The sequence below is a fragment of the Homo sapiens genome, chromosome 20 (genome assembly GCF_000001405.40).
Source record: "Homo sapiens chromosome 20, GRCh38.p14 Primary Assembly".
Taxonomy (NCBI): Eukaryota; Metazoa; Chordata; class Mammalia; order Primates; family Hominidae; genus Homo; species Homo sapiens.
Window position 1 is genome coordinate 16533939 of NC_000020.11, and position 24720 is coordinate 16558658.

The 24720-nt window shown below is 44.4% G+C and overlaps 1 protein-coding gene across 17 annotated transcripts in view, besides 1 other annotated feature; it reads right to left on the reverse strand.

The window, feature by feature from the left end:
• The window catches only part of KIF16B (kinesin family member 16B), a 301345-nt gene that overhangs the window by 261835 nt on the left and 14790 nt on the right, over positions 1-24720 (reverse strand). The window lies entirely within an intron of this gene.
• Positions 13869-14038: an enhancer, noted in NCBI's record as "experimental_59877 CRE fragment used in MPRA reporter constructs". NCBI's record gives its function as "activates a minimal promoter by MPRAs in K562 erythroleukemia cells, with activity observed for the non-introgressed 20:16528537 variant allele {active_cell/tissue: K562}" and the evidence as "EXISTENCE:reporter gene assay evidence [ECO:0000049][PMID:34662402]".

Below are 24720 nucleotides of genomic sequence, written 5' to 3' on the forward strand. Positions count from 1 at the left end.
AACAGTTTAAAAAAAAATAAAAAATAAAAAATAAAGATGTGGCTGGGCACAATGGCTCCCGCCTGTAATCCCAGCACTTTGGGAGGCTGAGGTGGGTGGATCACAGGTCAGGAGTTCAAGACCAACCTGGCCAACATGGCGAAACCCCATCTCTACTAAAAATACAAAAATTAGCCGAGCATGGTGGCAGGCTCCTATAATTCCTACTCGGGAGGCTGAGGCAGGAGAATCACTTGAGCCCGGGGGACAGAGGTTGCAGTGAGCTGAGATCGCGCCACTTCACTCCAGCCTAGGTGAAAGAGCAAAGCTCTGTCTCAAATAAAAAAAAAAAATTAATCTAAAATTACTCTTAGTATTTATAACACAGATACTGGCTAGAATTTCAGCCATAAAGAGCAAATCTCTTCCTAGTTCCTGAAAACACTTATAGAAAAGCCAATATATTTTTTACTGTTGAGTTCCTTGTATATTCTGGATATGAGTCCCCTATCAAATGAGTAGCTTACAAAAATGTTCTCCTATTCAACAGGTTGTCTCTTCACTGTTTCTTTTGCTGTGTAAATGTTTTTCAGTTTAACATAGCCCCTTCTGTCTGTTTTTGGTTTTGTTGTCTGTGCTTCTGAAGTCTCATCCATAAAGTCTTTGTCCAGAACAATGTCCTGAAGAGCTTTCCCTATGTTCTCTTCTAGTAGTTTTGTAATTTCAGGTCTTACATTAAAGTGTTCAATCCATCTGGAGTTGACTTTTGTATACAGTGAGAGATGGAGGTCATGTTTCTTTCCTCTGCATATTCTTATCCAGTTTTCCCAGCATCATGAAGAGAGCCCCAATGTACGTTCTTGGTGGCTTTGTCAAAGATCAGTTGAAAATATGTGGATTTATTTCTGGGTTCTCTGTTCTGCTCCATTGGTCCATGTGTCTATTTTTATATAATACCAATACCATGCTGTTTTGGTTACTACAGACTTTTAATGTATTTTGAAGTCAGGTAGTATGATGCCTTCAGCTTTGTTTTTGCTTAGGGTTGCTGTGGCTATTTAGGCTCTTTTTTGGTTCCATACAAATTTTAGAATTTTTTTTTTATTTCTCTGAAAAACAATGTTGGTATTTTGATAGGGATTGCACTGAAATTGTAGATTGCTTTGAGCAGTATGGTCATTTTAACAATATTAATTCTTCTGATCCATGAGCATGAGATGTCTTTCCACCTGTTTGTGTCCTCCTCAATTTCTTTCATCAGTATTTTGCAGTTTTCCTTGAAGAGATCTTTCACCTTCTTGGTTAAATTTATTCCCAAGTATTTTTCTTTGATAGCTACAGTAAATAGGATTGCCTTCTTCATTTCTTTCTCAGCTATTTCATTATTGGTATATACAAATGCTATTGACTTTTGTATGTTGATTTATCCTGCAACTTTATTAAATTCATTCATCAGTTCTAAGAGTTTTTAGGTGAAGTCTTTGGTTTTTCTAAATATAAGATCATGTCATCTGCAAAGAAGGACAATTTGACTTCCTCTTTTCCAATCTGGACGCCTTGTATTTCTTTCTCTTGCCTCATTGCTCTGACTAGGGCTTACAGTATTATCTTCAATATGAGTGGTAAAAGTGGGTATCCTTGTCTTCTTCCAGTTCTAAGAGAAAAAAAATTCACCTTTTCCCCATTCGCTACAATGTTAGCAGTGGGTTTGTCATATATAGTCTTTATTATTTCAATAACTAATCCTATTAAAAATGGGCAAAGGACATGAAGAGACATTTCTCAAAAGCAGACACAGAAATGACCAACAGATATATGAAAAAAATGCTCAGTATCACTAATTATCAGGGAAATGCAAATCAAAACCACAAAGAGATATCATTTTACCCCAGTTAGAATGGCTGTTATTAAAAAGACAAGAAATAACAGATGCTGGCAAGCATGCTAAGAAAAGAGAACTCTTATACACTGTTGGTGGGAATCTAAATTAGTGCTATGGAAAACAGAATGGAGATTTCTTTAAAAATTAAAAATAGAACCACCATACAATCCAGAAATCTGACTACTGGGTATTTATCCAAAGGAAAAGAAATCAATATATCAAAGGGAAACCTGCACTCCCATGTTTATTGAAGCACTATTCACAATAGCAAAGATATTATCAACGTAAGTGTCCAACAATGAATGAACGGATCAAGAAAATGTAGTATATACACACACTATGGAATACTACTGAGCCATAAAAAACAATGAAGTTATGTCATTTGCAGCAACGTGGACAGAACTAGGGGTCATTATGTTTAGTAAAATAAGCCAGGCACAGAAAGGTAAGTATCACAAGCTCTCACTCATATGTGGGAGATTAAAAAATGGATCATATGGAGATAGAGAGTAGAATGATAGATATCAGAGGCTGGAATGGGTGTACGGGGGTGGGGGGAGTGAAGAGAAGTAGGTTAATGGGTACAAACATAAAGTTAGATAGAAATAAGTTCTAATGCTTGTAAGCAAAGCAAGCTGACTACAGTTAACAACAATGTATTGTGGTTTTCAGAATAGCTAGAAAAGAGGACTTGAAATGTACCCAACACATAGAAATGATACTCCAGTGATGGATATCCCAAATACTTTATTACATATTCTAATACACATACCCCATAAATATGTACACAAATATAAAGTTTGTCAAAAAAATGTTTAGGAGAAGTAAAACCAAAACCAGCGTGATATCTATGATGGTTGGAGCTATTAAGTGTTGCAACTAATTCTTTGTTACATGTCTTCCTTTGCAGATTCCTGGAGAACTGTCAAACTTCCAAATATTTCAAAGATGAAAGAAAGGAGGAAGGCAGACTCCAGTACTTCCTTCCCATCCACACCCTGTGGACCAACCCTACTCAGCCTCCTTCATCCACTGCAGACTCTGGCTTCTGCTCTTGGCCTTCTCTTCACCCCTAGGGGCTTTAACTGTCATAGGTGACTTCAGAGTCCATGTGACACTCCATCAAACAACCTTACCCCCAACCCCCCTACCCAACATTCAGTTACCTAGTCCCTTCCAATCTACCACCTGTTGAACTAGACCAGATCTCCCCACTTTGTAGGCCCTGTCCCAGGTCAGGCTACCCCCACCTCTAGTCTCTTTGCCTCCAGCCTCATCCTCTCTCACACACACTCCATCGTCTGCTGCCAGAGAGAGCCTTCCATAAAACACATCTCACCACGAGGCTCCCCTGCTTTAAACTCCTTCAGTGACTTCCCAAAGGCTACAGGATAAAGTCCAACTCTCAGTGCTACTATACAAAGTCCTTCATGATCTGACCCTAGTTGACATTTCTATTCCAGCACTATATCCTGCCCCATCCTCTTCCCACGGTCAACTCCCAACCATTCCTCTAAATTCAGCTCAGACTTCACATCCTCTGTAGGGCCTTCACCAAGCCCTCTATCCTATCCCCTAGTTAGATGGCACTCCTGCTTGTCTCATCCACCAGACTCTTAACTTTTTAAGAGCAAGGACTCTGCCTGTCTGGGTTTATAGCCCTCCCCAGCCTCTGGCACATTGCCTGCAACTTTGTGGTGCTCCTAAAATGGCTGTTAAATGTGATGAACTTCCTGAAATATTAAACAAATGGCTCTTACCCCAGTGTACTCTTTACCACACTCATCCTCTTCCCACGTGGGTCTCCCTATGTGCCCCCTACATTCCTGGTTCTTGCCTTCCCACATACTAAAGTATCTTCCCACTTCCCACCCACATGTTCTTTTTCTTTTTTTCTTTTTTTCGTTTTTTTTTTTTTTTTTTGAGACAGGGTCTGGCTCCGTCACTGGGCTAAAGTGCAGTGACACAATCTTGGCTCACTGCAACCTCTGTCTCCTGGGCTCAAGCAATTCTCGTGCCTCAGCTTCCTGAGTAGCTGGGATTACAGATGTGCACCACGATGCCTAGCTAATTTTTGTATTTTTAGTAGAGACGGGGTTTCTCCATGTTGGCCAGGCTGGTCTCGAACTCCTGGCCTCAAGTAATCCACACACCTTGGCCTCCCAAAGTGTTAGGGTTACAGGCATGAGCCACCATGCCCAGCCCTACCCACATTTTCAAGTAAGGCTTGTCTTGGGTCCAGTTTGACTCACCTCCTCCTGATAAACCATTAGAAACAACACCCCCTCATACACCTACCTAGTTCATCTCACCTGCATAGCTTTATTCCTGCTGATGTCATCTCTCCAATTAGTCCAGAGAACCTCAGAGAAGCCCAGCTTCCTTCACATCCACACTGAGTCCACCAAGCACAAGGGCACCACCCACAATCAGCACTGAGTGCTTTGTCTTGTAATTCTTCAGCTGAAAACTACAACGCCAGGCACTGAGATTACCCAGCCTCTCAGGTCAATTTCCTCTGACATTTAAGAAACACAGCAAATAAATCCTGACATTCTTCTTATATTGTAGAAAATAAATAATCCTAAGATATTATTTGACATTAATTTGATAATAGGGAAAAATGAACTATGCCTCTCCCTGGCCACTTTGGTGAATTGGATTTCTCAACCGAAAAGCCAATTATGGGTCCTTCATATAGATAAGTAATTTATTTGAAAGGTCTGGAAACTAGATGATAAGATGCTACAAATGAACCAGCTGGAGTACATATACTTAGTTATAGATCAATATGGGGGGAGGAGGACGAAAGGAAAGGAAAAGATTTAAAATACTCTACCAGGAAAAGAGATAAATTATGTCAGCATTCAGATACATGAGTTAGAAGAACATTTATTTTTAAAAAAATCCTATTGACATAGTTTCTACATTTGTCCCCACACAAATCTCATGATGAATTGTAATCTCCAATGCTGGTGGTGTGGCCTGGTGGGAGGTGATTGGATCACAGGAGTGGATTTCTCATGAATGGTTCAGCACCATCCTGTTGGTGTTGTCCTTGCCCTGAATGAGTTCTTGTGAGATCTGGCTGTTTAAAAGTACATGACACCTCCGCTCGCCGCACTCTTGCTCCATTCTCACTATGTGATGTGCCTGCTCCCACTTTACCTTCAGCCATGAGTAATAGCTTCCTGAGGCCTCCTGAGAAGCAGATGCCACTATGCTTCCTGTATAGCCATCAGTGCAAATGATGAGCCAATTTAACCTCTTGTCTTATAAATTACCCAATCTTAGGTATTTCTTTAGAGTAATCCAAGAATGGCCCAACACGAAAAATTGGTACCAAGCAGTAGGGCATTGCTATAGAGATACCTGAAAAGATGCACACAGCTTTGCAACTGGGTAACAAGCAGAGGTTGGAAGAGTCTGGAGAGCTCAGAAGACAGAAGATGAGGAAAAGTTCGGAATTTCCTAGAGACTGGTTAAATAGTTGTGACCAAAATGCTGATAGTGATACAAACAGTGAGAGCCAGGCTGCTGAGGTCTCAGGTGGAAATCAGGAAGTTACTAGGAACTGAAGCAAAGGTCATCCTTGTTATGCCTTAGCAAAGAACTTGGCTGCATTGTGTCCATGCCCTAGAGATCTGTGGGAGTTTAAACTTGAGCGTGATGACCTAGGGATCTGGCAGAGAAAATTTCTAAGCAGTGAGTAACTTCTCGTGAGATCTGGCTGTTCAAAAGTGTATGACACCTCCCCCGACCCTTGCTCTCATTCTTTCCATGTGATGTGCCTGCTCCGGCTTTGCCTTCCACCATGAGTAAAAGCTTCCTGAGGCCTCCCCAGAAGCAGATGCTGCTATGCTTCCTGTACAGCCTGCAGAACCATGAGCCAATTAAACCTCTTTTCTTATAAATTACCCAGTCTCAGGTATTTCTTTATTGCAATGGAAGAACAGCCTAACATACCTATGTTAATTCAAATATCTTGAAGATGTTTTTAAGTTATTCAGCAATTCAAATTGATTCCATTCCCTCAGCTGATGACATCTGGTCAATCCATAATAAACAGCTAGACTGGGTGATGTTGGGATCTCCAAACTGAGACATTAGCCTGGAAGATTCTAAAGAGTGACTTATTTACCATGAGTTCTGAAATAAACCGGCATCCCAAGTGCACCTTAAAAGTTACATACTATGAACCAATATTTAACTGCCTTCATTTTAGTGGCAAGACACTTGATAGCAAAAATGAAAATAAAAACTATACTTTTAAAAATAATACATGAGCTCCATGTATACTAATATGGAAAGAAGTCCAAGGAAGCCTGTAAGTGGAAGAGCAAGCAGCAAAACAGTGTGCAGATGACAATCAAGTTTGCAGCTCAATAAATAGATTAATAAAGCCAAAATAATATGCGCGTCTATGATTCTAGATGCACAAAACATTTCTGAACATTTCTGAAAGGATAAATAGCAAGCCATTCACAGTGGTGACCTCTGGAGAGTGAGTGGGAGCAGGGCTTCAGGGGATGAGAAAATAAACATTTCACTGTTGGAATTCATTTTAGCAAGATTTGATATTCCTTCTACAGTTAAAATAAATTTAGTTAATTAAAAGACAAAAAGTCCCTGCTTTGAAATTCTGGGTGGCTCTTCATGCTCTAGAACAAGTCTACATCCTTACGTGGCATGAAAGCAAAAGCTACTGACCCTCTTCTCCTGATGACATGGCCATGAAACAGACAGCTCCTCGTGCCCTTGCACTTTCACACCTTCCCATGGTACTGAGTATCCTCATGCACTGCCTAGATCTGCCTCTCCCCGTCGCCATCCCTCTGCATTTCCACCAGGCAAAATGATACCCACATTCAAAACTAGTCCCAGTACCCCTTTCTCACAAAGCATTCTAATACCCTGGCTCCATGAATTAGTTTCTCTGTTCCACCCAAGAGCACTTCTCTTTTCCTCTTGTATTAGGTTCCAAATAAAATATAGGAAGCCCGATTAAACTGAATTTCCCATAATAGTTAATTTTATATTATGACTGTGTCCCAAATATTGCAATATTTTTGCTTGCTAAGTCTGACACACTGTTTCTTACCCAATGGTTTGCACTCATCAAGGGCTTCCACAGTTAGATGCAGATGTATTCGCCTCCCTACCCCAAGCCCAGAAAGCAAGCAACCCAAGTCTTCAGTAACACCTGCACCCTCAGTACCCAGCAAAGTGGCAGAAGCTCCATAAGTTTGTGTCACCTCACCTGTCTCAGGGCCTGAAGACAAACTCAGGGAGGGCTAGTCTCCTCCCCGAAACCATGTCTTCCTGCTGTTCCTTATCCTTTCCTATTAGAAAAAGAAATCTGTGCACAGCCTGTGACTCCAACCACTCCTCGCTGTTCTCCATGAAATCATGAAAGCCTCCATCTCAAGTTTTTGAGAAACACCCAGGGAACACAGATAGTAAAAAATTCTGGAATGGGTTTTTCAGGCAATCACCCTGACTTCATTTTGGCTTCTGAGAACACAGCTCACCACACAGCAGTCAGCTAGAGGTCAGTGGCACCATGACCTACATCCAAATGCCAACCTCGAGCGGCAGCTTGTGAGAAACTGGCACAGCCTCCACTCCGTCCCCCATGGGCTGCCAGTACGGAAGTACGGATGAGCCAAGGACAACGATGCTATCACAGCCTTATGAGTCTCCCATGCTAAGTGAAATCCTCACTTGACCTCTGTCTGCCACAACAGGAGGCCATTAAGCTGAGCCTTTCATTGTCTTCCCTGGCCTAGGGAAACAGTAATAAACCTAAAAAATTAGGCAAAGCACCAACTCTTACGGTTTACAGGTTGGGATCCCAGAGAAGCAGACATCTGTGGGAGTATAGCAAGCAGGGTGTTCATTAAGTTATGTCTTTGGGATCAACTCCTGGGAAAAGAAGGAGACTGAGGCAGGCCCAGGCAGAGGGAGAAGTGGAGCTGCAGCACCGACCCATGGACAGCCTTGGCCAACTCCACAGGCAGTCCTGGGGCTAGCGTGGCCCTTCAGAGTTGCCACAGGTTGGGCACAGATGGCCAGGCTTTTATACCCCTGCTTTGAGCAATCAGGGACTGTGGGCTGCGGTGGAAAGAGCTGGCAGCTGAAGGCTGGGCCAACCATGCTGCAGCAACAAGCCCTCAAAGACAGAGGATCTGGGTGGCAAGCACGGTGCCTACTGTACCAACCTCCCCTTTAAAATGATGCTTTATAGGATGCACCACACCCAAGTGGCAGCATTCACCACTACACCAACTCCCCAGCAGAGGCAGAGAGGCCTGAGCTGGGGCTACCGAGCTAGACAGAAGGCAGATACTTTATTTTTTTCAGCTGAAAGGAGAATAGCCTAACAATCAGAAGTGCCTCAGTACAAAATGAGTTACCTTAAGATGTGCAGAACCATTACTGAAGAGGTTTAGTTAGAAGCTAGAGAAATCCTTATCTGGGATGTTGTATGGGGAGATTTATATATTCATTCATTCATTCCATAAATATTTAGTGAGAATTAATGCTTTCACATACCAGATAATAGCCTCAGTGCAGGAATAAAATGGTAAACAATACAGTCCCAGCCTGCATTTCACAGAGAGGCTTAGAAGAAAAACAAAATAATACTCTATCATTTTAGATTGTGGTAAATGCTATAAAGAAATAAAGGTATGTCATGGAAAAGGACTAACAGGCAGAGGCAAAGGAAGGCAAGCAGCCAGAAAAGACCTCTCTAAGGGGGTGAGATATGAACAAACACCTGAACGGGGCCAGGCAAATGGCCCAGATAAAAAAACAGCAGGTGTAAAGGCCCTGAGGCAAGAACCAGCCAGAGACTTTGGGGGAAGGGCAAGAAGGTCACTGTGACTGCAGAAGAGAGAAACGGAAACAAAGTAGAAGAAGAGGTCAGAAAAGCCTTGAGGTGGAGGCCAAATCATGCCAGTTCTTGCAGGCTTTGGCTAAATGGCTAAGACTTCGAAACTTAAATGTAATAGGAAGCCACAGCCACCAGGTTTTGTGTACAGGGGAGTGGCAAAGTCGTATTTATATTTTTAAAAGGCCCCTCTGGTTGGTGTGCATAGACTCTAGAGGGATGGCAGTCTAGCAAGGAGACCACTCAGAAGGCTACACAAAGGATGCTGGGCCAGGGTACAGGAATGGAGATGCATCCAGATGACTGGGGTGGATCAGAAAGTTCCCCAGGCCTGCTGACAAACACTACTCTCTGAGGAGCCCAAACCCGGACCTACCAAGTAAGAATCTCCAGGACACTGTATTTTAACCACCTAGGAGGTTCTGATGGTCAACTGGGTTTGGGACCACTGCGCTAGTTTATCTGTGTTGTCCTCTGAGGAACTGGGATTCTATAAGAATGTGAAAGCTTTCACAGTTTTCACATTGTGAGATGCTGTTTCAGGTCCCTGTGAGATGCTGTTTCACTAGAAGGTGGTTTCATCCCTTCTTCTGAATGGAGCCCAACCCACCTATCCCCAATTCCAGAACAAAAATCCAGAACAGACTATGCCTTTAGGGTTATCACCACTGACTTCCAACCGAGGTGCTCCTCTTCTGAGTCCTAGAACACCAAAGTTATTTGAGTGACTATTTTCCCACTTTTCCTAAAGAAAGTATATAACTAGAATTATTCCAGAAGCATAGGACAGAAGTCAACTCATTACACATAACAGATGCCTTACTCAAGGTATTAGGACTTAATTCTATCTTGGAACCCTGGTTCTAGTTGAGAAAATCTGGTGGACAACTGAAAAATTTCATACATTACAAAATTCATGTCCCAAACCATAAAGGACTAAATTTTGCTCAAGACCAAAGATAATAATGACACTTTCATGGGGAATTTTGGATACTCCGCAGAAAGGAGATTTAGGGTCAAGCAAGATGGTAAGCGGCCTGAGAGTCAAGCTGAGGCTCAAGGAATGCAGCACTTGACAAGAGATGGACTTGGAAGAAGGAGACTTAGCCCATGACATCACCTCACATGTAAAGAAATGCAGGTCCAGAAAGGTTAAGTGACTTACTCAAAGCTCCCACTACAGAGTCAGCATTGTAAAAGGAACTCAGGAACTCAGTAAGCGATCAATACTTCAAAGCCACAAAGAACTGCTGAGAGCAAAGCTGGCACTCCTAATCTGATTTCAGCTACATCTTCCTGGAGAGGGTATGTAAGCTTGGGATCCCAGGGGAACACAATGAGCCAGCCAGTATATTTAGAGAATCCACACGATTGCTCTCCAAACAGGGTGGAAGTCATCAAATGCATCAGGCACTGGACAGGAGAATCGAGACGCGCACTTAGCCTCATTTCCCACCACACGACCCAGAGGCACCCAGGCTCCCCTGTCCCATTCCAAACTGTTCCTTCTTGCAGGTCTCACAAAGACCCGCCTCTGTGAGTCCTGGGCCTTGCTCATGCTGGTCCTTCTGCCTGGAATGTACCTATCTAATCCAAGTGACTTATCCTTCAAAGCCCATAAAAATGCTTCCTCAGCCGGGCACTGTGGCTCACGCCTGTAATCCCAGCACTTTGGGAGGCCAAGGCAGGTGAATGATTGGAGGTCAAGAATTCGAGACCAGCCTGGCCACCACGGTGAAACCCCGTCTCTACTAAAAATACAAAAATTAGCCAGGTGTGGCAGGTGTCTATAATCCCAGCTCCTTGGGAGGCTGAGACAGGAGAGTCGCTTGAACCTGGAAGGCAGAGGTTGCAGTGAGCCAAGATCACACCATTGCACTCCAGCCTGGGTGACAAGAGTGAAAAGCCATCTCAAAAAAAAAAAAAAAAAAAAAAAACTTCCTCTTCCAGGAAGCCTTCTCAGACCTCTCCTAGCCAGTATCTTCTGGGTGACATTCCATAACACACCACAGCAGTTACCACATTTGACCTGCTTACTGATGGGCTACTATACATTTGTCTTCCCCACCAGTGTACATGCTTCCTGAGGCCAAAGATGATGTCCTGCTCTTCATATATTTCACAACACCTAGCACTGTCCTCATATACAGCAAACACTTGATGAATGAATGAATGAATGAATGAATGTATAAGCACATGAAAGATCAAATGAAACAGCTAAAACAAGATACTATTCTTAAACTCGAGCACTAAAGTTAAACTCATACTTCAAAGCTTAAACTTTTAATTTTTAAATGCAGATAGATTTTCCCCAAAAATATCAATTAACTTGGCAAATGTTAACTCCAAAGACAGAAATGAAGCTTGTTTCTCCCTGCAGTCACAGCTGCTGACTCTGACTCCAGGAGCAAAGCGTTGGGGGCCTTCCATCTCCTTCTGAGTATCTTCTTTTGAGTCATGGAAAAAAGATACGGCTGTGCACGTGGCCAAACTTCTTTGATATGCTTCCTCAAAAGACACAAACAACATACTCATTTTTAAAAATGGAAATTTAGGCCGGGTGCAGTGGCACACACCTGTAATCCCAGTACTTTGGGAAGCTGAGACAGGCAGATCACTTGAGTCCAGGAGTTTAAGACCAGCCTGGCCAACATGGCGACACCTCATCTCTATTTAAAAAAAAAAAAAGGCCAGGAGAGGTGGCTCCCGCCTGTAATCCCAGCACTTTGGGAGGCTGAGGTGGGTGGATCACTTGAGGTCAGGAGCTTGAGACCAGCCTGGCCAACATAGTGAAACCCCAACTCTACTGAAAATACAAAAATTAGCCAGGTGTGGTGGCAAGCGCCTATAATCTCAACTACTCAGGAGGCTGAGGCAGGAGAATTGCTTAAACCCGGGAGGCAGAGGTTGTAGTGAGCCGAGATCGCACCACTGCACTCCAGCCTGGGTGACAGAGTGAGACTCTGTCTCAAAAGAAAAACGTGGAAATGTAAAAGAGGTATTGCAGAACATAAGAACATTCATACTTATTTTTGTTTTCCTGGATTCAGACATTAAATCGACTATTCAATGCCCAAAGACATCCTAGTTTAGTGCTGCAGCACTATGAAACACAAAGAAGTGTGTTTTCTCTGCTCTTCATCCACATCACTATAACCCTCTTCCCAGTTTTATCTCTATTCTAGAAAAATGTTCTCAGTGGCAGCTTACAAAAAAAAAAAATACAATTTTGGCCTATAAAATGGAGTTGATTCCTTTTGTAACACCACCAGCTAAATGCCATATACCAGCTAGGGAAGGGATACTGGTATAATTCAAACTAAATTGCAAGACTTTTTCTTCAAAAAGACTTCAAATCATAGTGGAACAAGATGGAATTTTGGTTTCTTGTCACTTTTTCACCAAGCATAGTGCCTAACATGTATATTGCCAAGCACAGTGGTTTAATAATTGGGAGAGGGGGCACTAGGTTTGGGGGACCTGGATTGAAATCCTGAGTCTTAGTAGCTTTGCGACTTTGGGTACATTACATAACTTTGCTAAGCCATGGTGTACTAATTACACAGCAACACTGTGGTTATTGAGCTGCACTGATGTACAATTTTTTGCTGAAAGATGTGATAGAAGAAAACAGACAATATAAGGCCAGCTATGGAGTCGATACTCAATCTATGTGTTCATCTTCATCATGAAATCAAGATCCCTCCATTTATTCAGTTAATGTTTACCGTGTCTCTACTATGTGCCAGCTACTATTTGCAGCACCTGGAGATAAACCAGTGGACAAAACCAACAAAATGATCTCTGGGAGCTTACATTCTGGTGTGGAGATTCACTTTAACATAACCTTTCTGACCCTTTCCCAAAATAGGTGCAAGTGGAATCTAGAAAATAAATGTTGCCAAGTCTTCTGCCCAGATATCATGAAAATACAGAAGCACCACACAGCTGACTTTGTAAAAATCTTCAAAAGCTTTGTTCATGAAATGCTTTATCTACATCAACTCAATGCAGAGGCACAATTCATAAAGATAAGGCTAACAGAAACACAAAAATTCTTTCACTTATTTTTATTTAATTATTTATTTATTTATTTACTTCAGATGGAGTCTCACTCTGTTGCCCAGGCTGGAGTGCAGTGGTGCAATCTTGACTCACTGCAACTTCTGCCTGCCAGGTTCAAGCGATTCTCCTGACTCAGCCTCCTGAGTAGCTGGGATTACAGATGCCCACCACCAGGCCTGGCTAATTTTTGTATTTTTAGTAGAGACAGGGTTTTGCCATTTTGCCCAGGCTGGTCTCGAACTCCTGACCTCAGGGGATCTGCCGGCCTCGGTCTCCCAAAGTCCTGGGATTACAGGTGTGAGCCACCGCACCCAGCTTTCACTTATTTTTAAATTCTTGTGAATTATGTCCAGTTATTCTGACGACATACAGACTGTCCCACCTAAAGACACATAAGCATGCTGTGTCCTTCCTGTCCCATGCTCAGCGTCCGCATCCATCACCTCTCCTAAGGCAAGCTGGCCATGCCCACTCACGATAAATGACAGAGCCACCATGGCCAGAGGCAGGACAAACACATGCCTCCCCTTTACAAGGCTGTGAGGGATACAGAAACATTAATATCATGGCTCATGCCCTTAGATGGCCCACAATCACCCCACATGGGTGACAGCAAATGGCTAGTGCTGTCAATCAGGCATGGGTGCCCACACCAAGGAGAGACCTGACTTTGGTAAGTGAAACAAAGTTAGTCCAAAAAAGAAGCGCAATCACATTTTTTATTCTGGGGGAAAAGGAGTATGTCACCAGAAAGTTCCTTTCCAGAATATTCTTTGAAACTGTGTCATATCACCTTCTCCAGTGCCTCCACGACCTCAGCTTGATAAAGAACTGCTCCCCACCTGCCTCTGGTCTCACTCTGAGCATGCTGCTCAGACACAGAGAATGCTATTCCCCACCTGCACTTTCTGAGGAGCGCTGCAACTCACGCAACACAAAGAAACAAAACAGGAAGAAATAGCAACACTCTAAACACATGCATTATTTTCATTTTGCTGTCATCCAGGAAACATCAGGGCATCAACTGAAGGCAAGCACGCTGACCATGGTCCACGGCATGCTGCATCTGGTGCATGTCCGGTAAACCAAATCCCAGCAGGGACCCCCAACCCTGGAGTTCTCCAGCTCTGCTGCTCACAGGAATCTCCTGGGGCTTTAAAAACCCTGATGCCCAGGCTGCACCCCAAACCAATTAAATCTGACTCTCTGGCAGAGGGAAGCGAGTGTCAGCTGAGAAGGGTGAGAATCAGCGTCCTAATTCTTGTTTCTCTAGCTCCCCCATTAAATGTTTCAGAGGCACAATTAGTGGCTTATCCCATAATGAGATGTCACTACCAAAGCCTAAAGGAGAAAACAAACTATGACACAGATCTGATCCCAACAGCCAGTTTCAGGTCTTCTATTAAAGAACTGACCAAGGCTTTGACAACCGCTCAGCCTCTGTCTACTCATCCATAAAATGAGGATGAGTCTTGCCTGCTCTACCACGTCAGAGGGAGCTACAAGGTTCGGAGGATGGATTCAGAGTGCACATAGAACGATAAAGCTGACACAGACACACGTCACCATTCAGCACTACCAGCCCAGGCTGCAGAAGCTCCTTTCAGAGCTGTATCTTGTAGAACAGGCATCCCAAAGCCCCAGGTCATGAAGCAGTACTGGTCTATGGGCAGTAAGGAACCGGGCCACACAGGAGGAGGTCAGCGGCAGGCAAGCGAGCATTACTGCCTGAGCTCCGCCTCCTGTCATATCAGCAGCATTACATTCTCATAGGAGAGCAAACCCTATCGTAAATGGCGCGTGCAAGGGATCTAGGTTGCAACCTCCTTATTAGAATCTAACTAATGCCTAATGCCTAACTCCTGACAGCCTGAGAGTGGGCACATTGCAAAACCATCCTCACCACTGTGCCCTGTCCATGGAAAAACTGTCTTCACAAAACCGGTCCCTGGTGCCAAGAAGTCTCAGGACCACTGCTGTAGAAGATCCAGATTCCTGGCTATTTCCATACCCCAGGAGACAGACCCACTTTCCTGATCTTAGTGACCAGAACAGGACCAGCTTGTTTATGCAGTAAGTGAGATGCAAGGCTGCTTGTGGCACAACGAGACGAAGACCACTGGAAGATGCCTCCCCAAAATACTGAAAACACTAATGCTGTAGAAAAGCAGCAAAGGGAAATGGTCTAAAGTAAATAAGGAGTTTTAAATAAAGTAAATAAAGGAAAAGAATTTTAAAATACTCATTTTCGGTTTTTTTTTTTTATGTTTTTTTTTCGTTAGTTTTTTTTTTAATTATACTTTAAGTTTTAGGGTACATGTGCACATTGTGCAGGTTAGTTACATATGTATACATGTGCCATGCTGGTGCACTGCACCCACTAACTCGTCATCTAGCATTAGGTATATCTCCCAATGCCATCCCTCCCCCCTCCCCCTACCCCACCACAGTCCCCAGAGTGTGATATTCCCCCTCCTGTGTCCATGTGATCTCATTGTTCAATTCCCACCTATGAGTGAGAATATGCGGTGTTTGGTTTTTCGATCTTGCGATAGTTTACTGAGAATGATGATTTCCAATTTCATCCATGTCCCTACAAAGGACATGAACTCATCATTTTTTATGGCTGCATAGTATCCCATGGTGTATATGTGCCACATTTTCTTAATCCAGTCTATCATTGTTGGACATTTGGGTTGGTTCCAAGTCTTTGCTATTGTGAATAATGCCGCAATAAACATACGTGTGCATGTGTCTTTATAGCAGCATGATTTATAGTCCTTTGGGTATATACCCAGTAATGGGATGGCTGGGTCAAATGGTATGACTTCAAACTATACTACAAGGCTACAGTAACCAAAACAGCATGGTACTGGTACCAAAACAGAGATATAGATCAATGGAACAGAACAGAGCCCTCAGAAATAACGCCGCATACCTACAACTATCTGATCTTTGACAAACCTGAGAAAAACAAGCAATGGGGAAAGGATTCCCTATTTAATAAATGGTGCTGGGAAAACTGGCTAGCCATATGTAGGAAGCTGAAACTGGATCCCTTCCTTACACCTTATACAAAAATCAATTCAAGATGGATTAAAGATTTAAACGTTAGACCTAAAACCATAAAAACCCTAGAAGAAAACCTAGGCATTACCATTCAGGACATAGGCATGGGCAAGGACTTCATGTCCAAAACACCAAAAGCAATGGCAACAAAAGACAAAATTGACAAATGGGATCTAATTAAACTAAAGAGCTTCTGCACAGCAAAAGAAACTACCATCAGAGTAAACAGGCAACCTACAAAATGGGAGAAAATTTTCGCAACCTACTCATCTGACAAAGGGCTAATATCCAGAATCTACAATGAACTCAAACAAATTTACAAGAAAAAAACAAACAACCCCATCAAAAAGTGGGCGAAGGACATGAACAGACACTTCTCAAAAGAAGACATTTATGCAGCCAAAAAACACATGAAAAAATGCTCATCATCACTGGCCATCAGAGAAATGCAAATCAAAACCACTATGAGATACCATCTCACACCAGTTAGAATGGCAGTCATTAAAAAGTCAGGAAACAACAGGTGCTGGAGAGGATGTGGAGAAATAGGAACACTATTACACTGTTGGTGGGACTGTAAACTAGTTCAACCATTGTGGAAGTCAGTGTGGCGATTCCTCAGGGATCTAGATCTAGAACTAGAAATATCATTTTCGTTTTTTTTCCCCCTAGAGAGCTTGTTAAAACACATGAAACATTCTTTTTTTTTTTTTTTTTTTTTTTGACACAGGGTTCACTCAGTCACCCAGGCTGGAGTGCAGTGGTGCGATCAGAGCTCACTGTAGCCTCAACCTCCCTAAGCTCAGATGATCCTCCCACCTCAGCCTCCCAAGTAGCTAAGACTACAGGTACATGCCACCATGTCCAGCTAATTTTTTCTATTTTTTGTAGAGACGGGTTTTCACCACATTGCTCAGGCTGGACTCAAACTCCTGGGTTCAAGTGATCCACCATGACCTCCCAAAGTCCTGGGATTACAGGCATGAGCCACCACGCCTGGCCGAAACATGCATTCTAAACTAGAAGTTTTAAAATAGCATCCCAGGGCTAGAACGGGTGTTCTAAAACATTTTTAATTAGTTGCCAACATATTTAAAATAATATTTTACATGAGAGCCTGGATTTCCCACTTCTCTCAAAACACAGGAATGAAAATGCTGGCTGATGTGATGAAAATAATCAAGCTTACTTTGAACAAAACATGATTTAACCCAGCTAGGAGCACATTAGGTTTGACTGTCCAGGTTTTCTAATTTCTTATTTAGGATTTAGTGAAGAAACCACCAGTGAGGGGCTTTCTCTTCTTTTTTTTTTTTTTTTGAGATGCAGTTTTGCTCTTGTTGCCTAGGCTGGAGTGCAATGGCACGATCTCAGCTCACTGCAACCTCCGCCTCCTGGTTCAAGCAATTCTCCTGCCTCAGCCTCCTAAGTAGCGGAGATTACAGGCACTCGCCACCATGCCCGGCTAGTTTTGTATTTTTAGTAGAGATGGGGTTTCACCATGTTGGTCAAGCTGGTCTCAGTCTCCTGACCTCAGGTGATCTCCCGCCTCAGCCTCCCAAAGTGCTGGGATTACAGGCATGAGCCACTGTGCCTGGCCGAGGCGCTTTCTCTCTCCTTTCCTCCTGTCTTTCCAGTGTGGGCCGCATCTCTCCAGCTTTCATTCCTTCTGACTCCTTGCTGGTGCCTGTACCTCCCAAGGCCCTAAAGGTGTGCAACTTTTGAAGAATGAGGCTGCCAATCCCTGGAGCTGTAAAGCAGGGACAATAATAGCAGGTTCTTATCATTGAAGAATTCATCCCAGAATCCTTGAAATCGAATACACTACCACAGTTTGCAGACAGAAATGAAAGAAATAACCTTGTCCTTAAGCCAGAAGGGCTTGAGGTAAGAAAGCCCTCTGATATCATCAGTGTTCCTTGCAATCAAGCATAGACAGAGAGCAACACAGGCCTGGCCTCATTTCTGTGGCTCAGCTGACCAAACAGTCTGTGCCCAAGAAAGCAGGCCCCCCTCCCACGACAGCTACAGGAGGGCAAAGGAAGGCTCAAGTTGCACCTGGTGGGACAGTTACACCTCTAATTTAGACATCATTTCAAAGAAGGAGGGTGGGCGTGGGGGCGCGGAGCTAACATATAATGTAATGCTACCCACTGTCTGAGGCCAAGAGGGCTCATCTTGAGATAACGTGATGACATCAAATGAGCAGTTCTACTTCTGTTTTACTCACGTCCTCAACTCTCAAGCATCACTCTTCCACTCTTTTGTGATTAATCATGCCTTTTAATTCAGCCTTGTCTCTCCTGCACATGGACACTTCCTCTGAGTCCCCCTTAGGTTTCATGGCTCTGTCTGCATTTTCAAAGCTTGACAAACCCAGCTCAGCACTTGAAATAGGAAGCTCCCTAACACAAGGAAGCCTTTAGCTTCCTATAAGTCATACAGAGAAGGGAATTGAGAACAGCTACATGTGCCTCTGAAAATAAACAAGTGGATAAAATCATATCACGCTGAAGCCAGAGAACTCAAACTGCTGGTATCATCCCAGCATATGCAATATTAACACGCAGCCATTATGAGCTTCGTTGAGGTTTTCAGGTGAGGCCTCTGGGCCTCCCACATGCTGCTCCATCCACCACTACACCTGTTGTCCCAGGCTAGTCTCCACTTCAGGTCTGTCTCTCCAAGTACCCTTCCTGATGCCACAAGTCTGTTAGACCCAACCCCCCACCATGGGCTTCCACAGCACCACAGCATCCAGTACAACAAAGGCAAGAACTGTGCCTAGCTTGGAGACCACTGTATCCTGACACGCAGCCCAGAGGTTTTTAAAGGTCTTGGGGGGCTCTGCAAGGTTAAAATTATTTTCATTATGACACCAGCATATTATTTGTCTTTTTCACACTCACATTTCTGATAGCTAAGGAAATATGTGCTTATATATTCCTATGTTTTAACTTTCTATTTTAATTTATTATTTTTTTTTAAGACAGAGTGCAGTGGTGTGATCTTGGCTCCCTGCAACCTTCTGGGTTCAAGCAATTCTCCTGCCTCAGCCTCCTGAGTAGCTGGGATTACAGGTGCCTGCCACTACACCCAGCTAATTTTTGTATTTTCAGTAGAGACAGGGTTTCATCGTGTTGGTCAGGCTGGTCTCGAACTCCTGACCTCAAGTGATCCACCCACCTCGGCCTCCCAAAGTGCTGGGATTACAGGCATGAGCCACCGTACCCGGCCTCTATTTTAATTTCTAATGTGGCCTCCCACCTCTCCAGTCTCCACTCTCACCACCCATCTGAAGTTTCAGCCATTTCGTGAGACTTTGTAGCTCACAGTCATACTCCAGAGCCTGGGGTCTCTGTACGCTTTCTGCTTAAAATGCTACTGCCAGCCTTGTCTGTTGGCTGACTCATCCTGCCAGGGAGCCCTGCCCTCAGTGCTGATGTCCTCTAGGGTGTTTCTCCAGCCCTCCCAAGGAGCTCTACTCAATGCCTCCTGACCCCCACGCTGTCACGCCTTGAATGCAACATTATTAACTAGAGAACTTGTGAGGCTTTCTTTGTTTCTGTTGTTCCCACAAGATCATGAGCTACTTGAGGGTGGGGATCGTACCCTTACTCATCTCTAGCCAAGAAAAGCTCTGTGGCTTTTATTGAGCCCAATGGAGAGACAGACATTGAGCCTAAGAGAGTATCTACTGTTCACCAGCTAAGCCTATTTGGACCTCAATAGCTCAACTTCCCCCAAAACACCTTGCTTGTAAACATAAGCTCACATTGATGTTCCTTTCTCCAGACACCTACTGTACTTTACTATCTACACAGCAGAACTTAGAACTCAGTGACTAGTAGACTTTGTCTATTCATTATTTAGTTATGTAAGATTCTTCTCCACATTCATAGCAACAGTGGTCCACCTGCAGCAACCGCTACCAAGACGCTGGCTACAGCGGGGGAGGTGCAGCTGGGCTGCATGCTCCACAGAGCCAGCAGGAGCCAGGAGCAGACAGGAGCAGACAGGAGCAGACAGGAGCCCAAAGCAGGAAGGAGTCCTGCACTGTCGCAGCCCAGCCAGGTGTGCGCACACTTAGGGAAGCACTGACATGCCAGTCCACAGCCACTTCAGCCCCCTCCAGACTTTTAGCACTGATGAGCATGGGAGGGAGGCTGAGGTGGGGCTGAGGGCAGCTCAGCGCCGGCCTGCAGGCACCCCTTGGCATGAACAGCCTGGGCACCATGAACAGCAGCAGGAGACAGGCAGGCTCCTGGGTAGAAAGAAGGAGGTGGGTCCTGGGTGAAGCCCCAGCTTCAAACTGAGGAGGACATGAAGCCTGCGGACCAGGCTGCCAATCCTGCAGAGTGGAGTGGGAACTTGTGGTTTTTTGCCGGGCCCACCCATAGCCACCTATGGACCAATCTGCACATATTTCCTCCCCTATGAGGCCCATAAAAGCCCAGGATTCAGCCAGACTCGAAAAGACAATGACCTGCCAGCTGCCGAGAGGATTTACCCACTCCAGGGTCTCCTCTCTGCTGAGAGCTGAACATTCAACAGATGACCTGCCTGCAGAGTGGAGCTACCCACTCCAGGGTCTCCTCTCTGCTGAGCGCTGAACGCTCATCGGGACACCCTGCCTGCTACCCAGTGCGGGTCTCCTTTGAGCTGTCTGTCGCTCAATAAAGCTCCTCTTTGCCTTGCTCACCCTCCACTTTCCCATGTACCTTATTCTTTCTGGACACAGGACAGGAACTTGGGACCCATCAAATGGTGGGGCTAAAACAGCTGTAGCATGAACAGGGCCAAAACATGTCCCTTGCTCACCACGTTGCAGGCAACAAAAAGGAGAGAAGAGGGGAGAGAAGAGCTGTGGCCCTCTAGGGAGCCCAGGCCTAGGAGCTCCCTGAGCCAGGGCTGTCACACCCTCTTTGGGGCTCTGTGGTTTCTGGTGTCTCCGAACTTCCAGGTGCTACCACATTCCCCAGTGCCAGCCACGGAAGCTGTTTGCAGTACATCTGGTCCAGCTGCAGCCTTGCAGGGAGCTGGCGCCCATGCCAGCACCTGGAGTTGCCCACCCCACTGCAGTCAGCACGCCTGGCTGTGAGCAGTAGCTGGACCCCACACTCGCTCACACACCCTTTGCCGCTCCATGCCTGGCTTGCCCTTGGCAGGCATGGGATCCAGGCTGGTAGCACAAGCTGAGCACAGCCTGCCAGGCTGAGTGGACAGAATGAGCCTGAGCAAAACTTGGGCAAAGGTGCCACTGGCCACAAAGGTTTCCAGCTGGCAAAATGACACCCCAAGGATCCCATACCAACATCACCACAATATTCATGTAAAACCCTAGGTACAAGACAAAATTGTAATGTTGCATTCATTGTGCTTACTCTGTGCAAGCACTTCACAGCCATTAATTCCTTAAGTCCTCAAAATAACCCTATGAATAAGGAACATATGATCCTCCTCACTGTACAGAAGAGGATATGAGACGAAATCAGAAGACAGAGTGCCACGTATAAAACAATGCAGGTGGTTAGTGGCAATGGCAAGATGTAACCTGAGAACCTACCCTTCCACATGCATGCCTCTGCCACACTCTGCACTGTACTGGGCATGATGCAAAAGTTCGGGATTATGAGGCTAATGACATCCCCAAAGAAACCTTACTGACTTAATCAAGCCATAGACCAAAGGCCATCCTCCAAGGAAAAGCTCATAAAAGGAAAAAGCAGTTTCTCACATGCAGAAAGCACTTAATGTCTGCTGACCAGATGAATAAACAAATAAAAACAAAGCAAATCAATAAATACAAATATGCTTCAAGGGCTTAAGAAGATGGTATAGAAAAATACATCACCTTTATTCAGTACTGATTAGTGATAGCTACCTCTCAAAAGTCAGAGAAGGGAAAAGGGAAAAGGGGGAAGATGGCAAAAACAAAAACAACCACAAAATTTTCTCATTCTTCAAAATCAAAACAGAAAGGAATTCAAGCCAAGATCAAATCAAAGACAATCAAATCAGTTTCATGAGCACTTAGGCTCTAGAGAAGGAGGAATGGATTATTTCTACTGACTCATTAATTCATTTATTAGTCATTAGAAAGGGCAGAAAATCTGAAAACTATTTGTTGGTAGAAAACATAGGCTATGTTACCCTGGAAACAAGGTTCCCTTGGGGAAAAGCTTGCCTTGGAGTATTCCTAAATTCCCTCCTTTACCATCCTCCCCCTTCCAACACTGGGCCACTCATTAGACACTGATAACATCAGCCCCCACCTCCCCAGCTCATCTTCAGAGGTGGTCCAGTACCAACAGAATAAAGGCTGTTCATCTCAGCACTAGAAGAAACTTACAGGTCACTTGGGTGCAACTTCTTTACATGACACTCTAGCTGGTGATCAGCCTCACCAAAAACAAAAACAAAGAAACAGCACAACCAGGTGGTATCACACCTGTCTCCTCAACAGAATGGCTCTCCACATTCTCACACCGCTCTGCCATGAACCAACTGGTCACTAACTGGCTACCCGGAGACTCCAGAGAGCAAGGACTATGCCCACTGTGGCCTCGATGCAAAACACGATGCTTTGCACTCTATATGTGGTCAGTAAATGCTTGCTGAGTGAATAATCATGACTGTATACATCCATGCCTCTTGCGCAAATCACTGTGTGTCTATTCTTGCCCCCTGGGATTCTGTTCTCCATTAGCAGCACAAGTGACCTTTTGACAACATATGTCAGGCCAACACATGTTCTCACTCCTCCAATGGCCCTACCACACTTAAAACCTAAGACTTTAGGTGGCTTAATAGGCCCTATATGAGCCACACTTCCCTATTCTGGGCCCACAGACCTCCCTGCACCCATTGCATGTTCCAGGCATGCTCCTGACACACAGCCTCTGCACTGGCTGTTACTTCTGCCTAGAATATTCTTCCCAGATATTCCCACGGTTCATTACCTTACTTCCTTCACCAATCACCTACACAGCCAGTCCTTCCCTGACCACTGTTATCTGTGGTTAGCTACCCCTTTACTGTGCTTTATTTTCTTTATAGAATGTTCCCACTTACCACTACCTTATGATCTTTTGTTCACTCACTAGACCTGTGCTGTCCAATATGGCAGCTACTAGCCACATGTGGCTACTGAACACCTGATATGTGACTAATCCAAATTGAGCTGTGCTGTAAGTACAAAATCATGCCAGATTTTAAAGATGTATTTACCATGAAAAATGTAAAATATCTCATTAATACTATATATAGTATTAATATTAATCATTAATATTAATCATTAATACTATATATATTAATACTATATATATATACACACACACACACATACTAATACTATATATATGTTTTTTGAGATGGAGTCTCTCTCTGTCACCCAGGCTGGAGTGCAGTGGCGCAATCTCGGCTCACTGCAACCTCCGCCTCCCAGGTTCATGCGACTCTCCTGCCTCAGTCTCCAACTAGCTGAGATTACAGGCGCCTGCTACTACGCCCGGCTAATTTTTGTAATTTTAGTAGAGATGGGGTTTCACCATGTTGGCCAGGCTGGTCTCAAACTCCTAATCTCAAGTGATCCACCTGCCTCAGCCTCCCAAAGTGCTGGGATTACAGGCATGAGTCACTGCACCTAGCCCACTGTGCATTTTTTATGTATAATCTACCCCATATAGTCATCACAGTAACACCAGAGGAAGAGGGCAAGAAGGGAGGACTATTAAAGTCATGTTTCAGAAGAAGAATCTGAGGCTCAGAGAAGTACAATAATACATCCAAGCTCACAAAATGAGCAAGTGGCAGACTCAGAATGCAAACCCATGTCTTCCAGCCTCAGCCCCTGGCACCTGGTCCTCCACTCGAAGCCCAGGCTGGCAGCCAGCAGACAGCATCATACCCAGAGAGAGTATCTGTTTGGCCTGCATGGTTTCCTTGTTTGGTTGTTTGTTTCCGCTAAAATCCTTGCCAATATTTGAAAATTTAGGGATTTTAACAGTACGGGTTCCCATTTTTCATTCAACACCTGAACACTTGGTACACGCCAAGCACAAGGAGCATAATCCAAGAACAAGACAGAAATGGTCCCAGTGCTCACAGAGGGACTCAGACTATAAACCAGTAAGTAAGGAAAATACCTAAGAGGCCAAATTTTGATAAGTGCTGTAAACGAGGAAAAATAGAGGGGGGACAGGAAACACCAGCAATAGGGGGCACTATTTTCAATGGAATAACTGAGAAAGCCCACATTGAAGAAGCGACATTTGAACAAAAACTCAAGAGAGAAGGAGTGGGAGATGCGGACATCTGGAGAAAGAACACCTCCAGCAGACGAGTGGCAGGTGCCGAGGTCCTGAATGGCATCACTGATCAGAATGGAGAAACATCATCTCTCTAGACACAGAGTGTGGCAGAAAGAGACAACTTCCCCTGTTGGGTATAGAATTGTTACTGGAACGTGGCTCCTAGCCAGTAACAACAGGTTCCCAGCCTTCCCTGCATCCGGCGTGGCCATGTGACTATTCTCACCAATGAAGGGTGAGCATTATTGATGTGTCTCTCCCACACCAAAGCAGCCAAGAAGAAGGTGTGCCTCCTCCACCCTCTCCCCTCTTCCGCTGGCTAAGCAGAGAAGACTGTGAGGCCCCAGAGGTATAAAAGAGGCTCCAGGATATAGAAGAAAAACCACCTGCTGACCAGGAACTGCAGATCATCATCTGTTTACATGGCAAAAGATAAACTTCTTTGGTATCTTTAGTGAGAGCCACGAAAATGTGGGGGTAGGGTGGGTGCGATGGCTCACGCCTGTAATCCCAACACT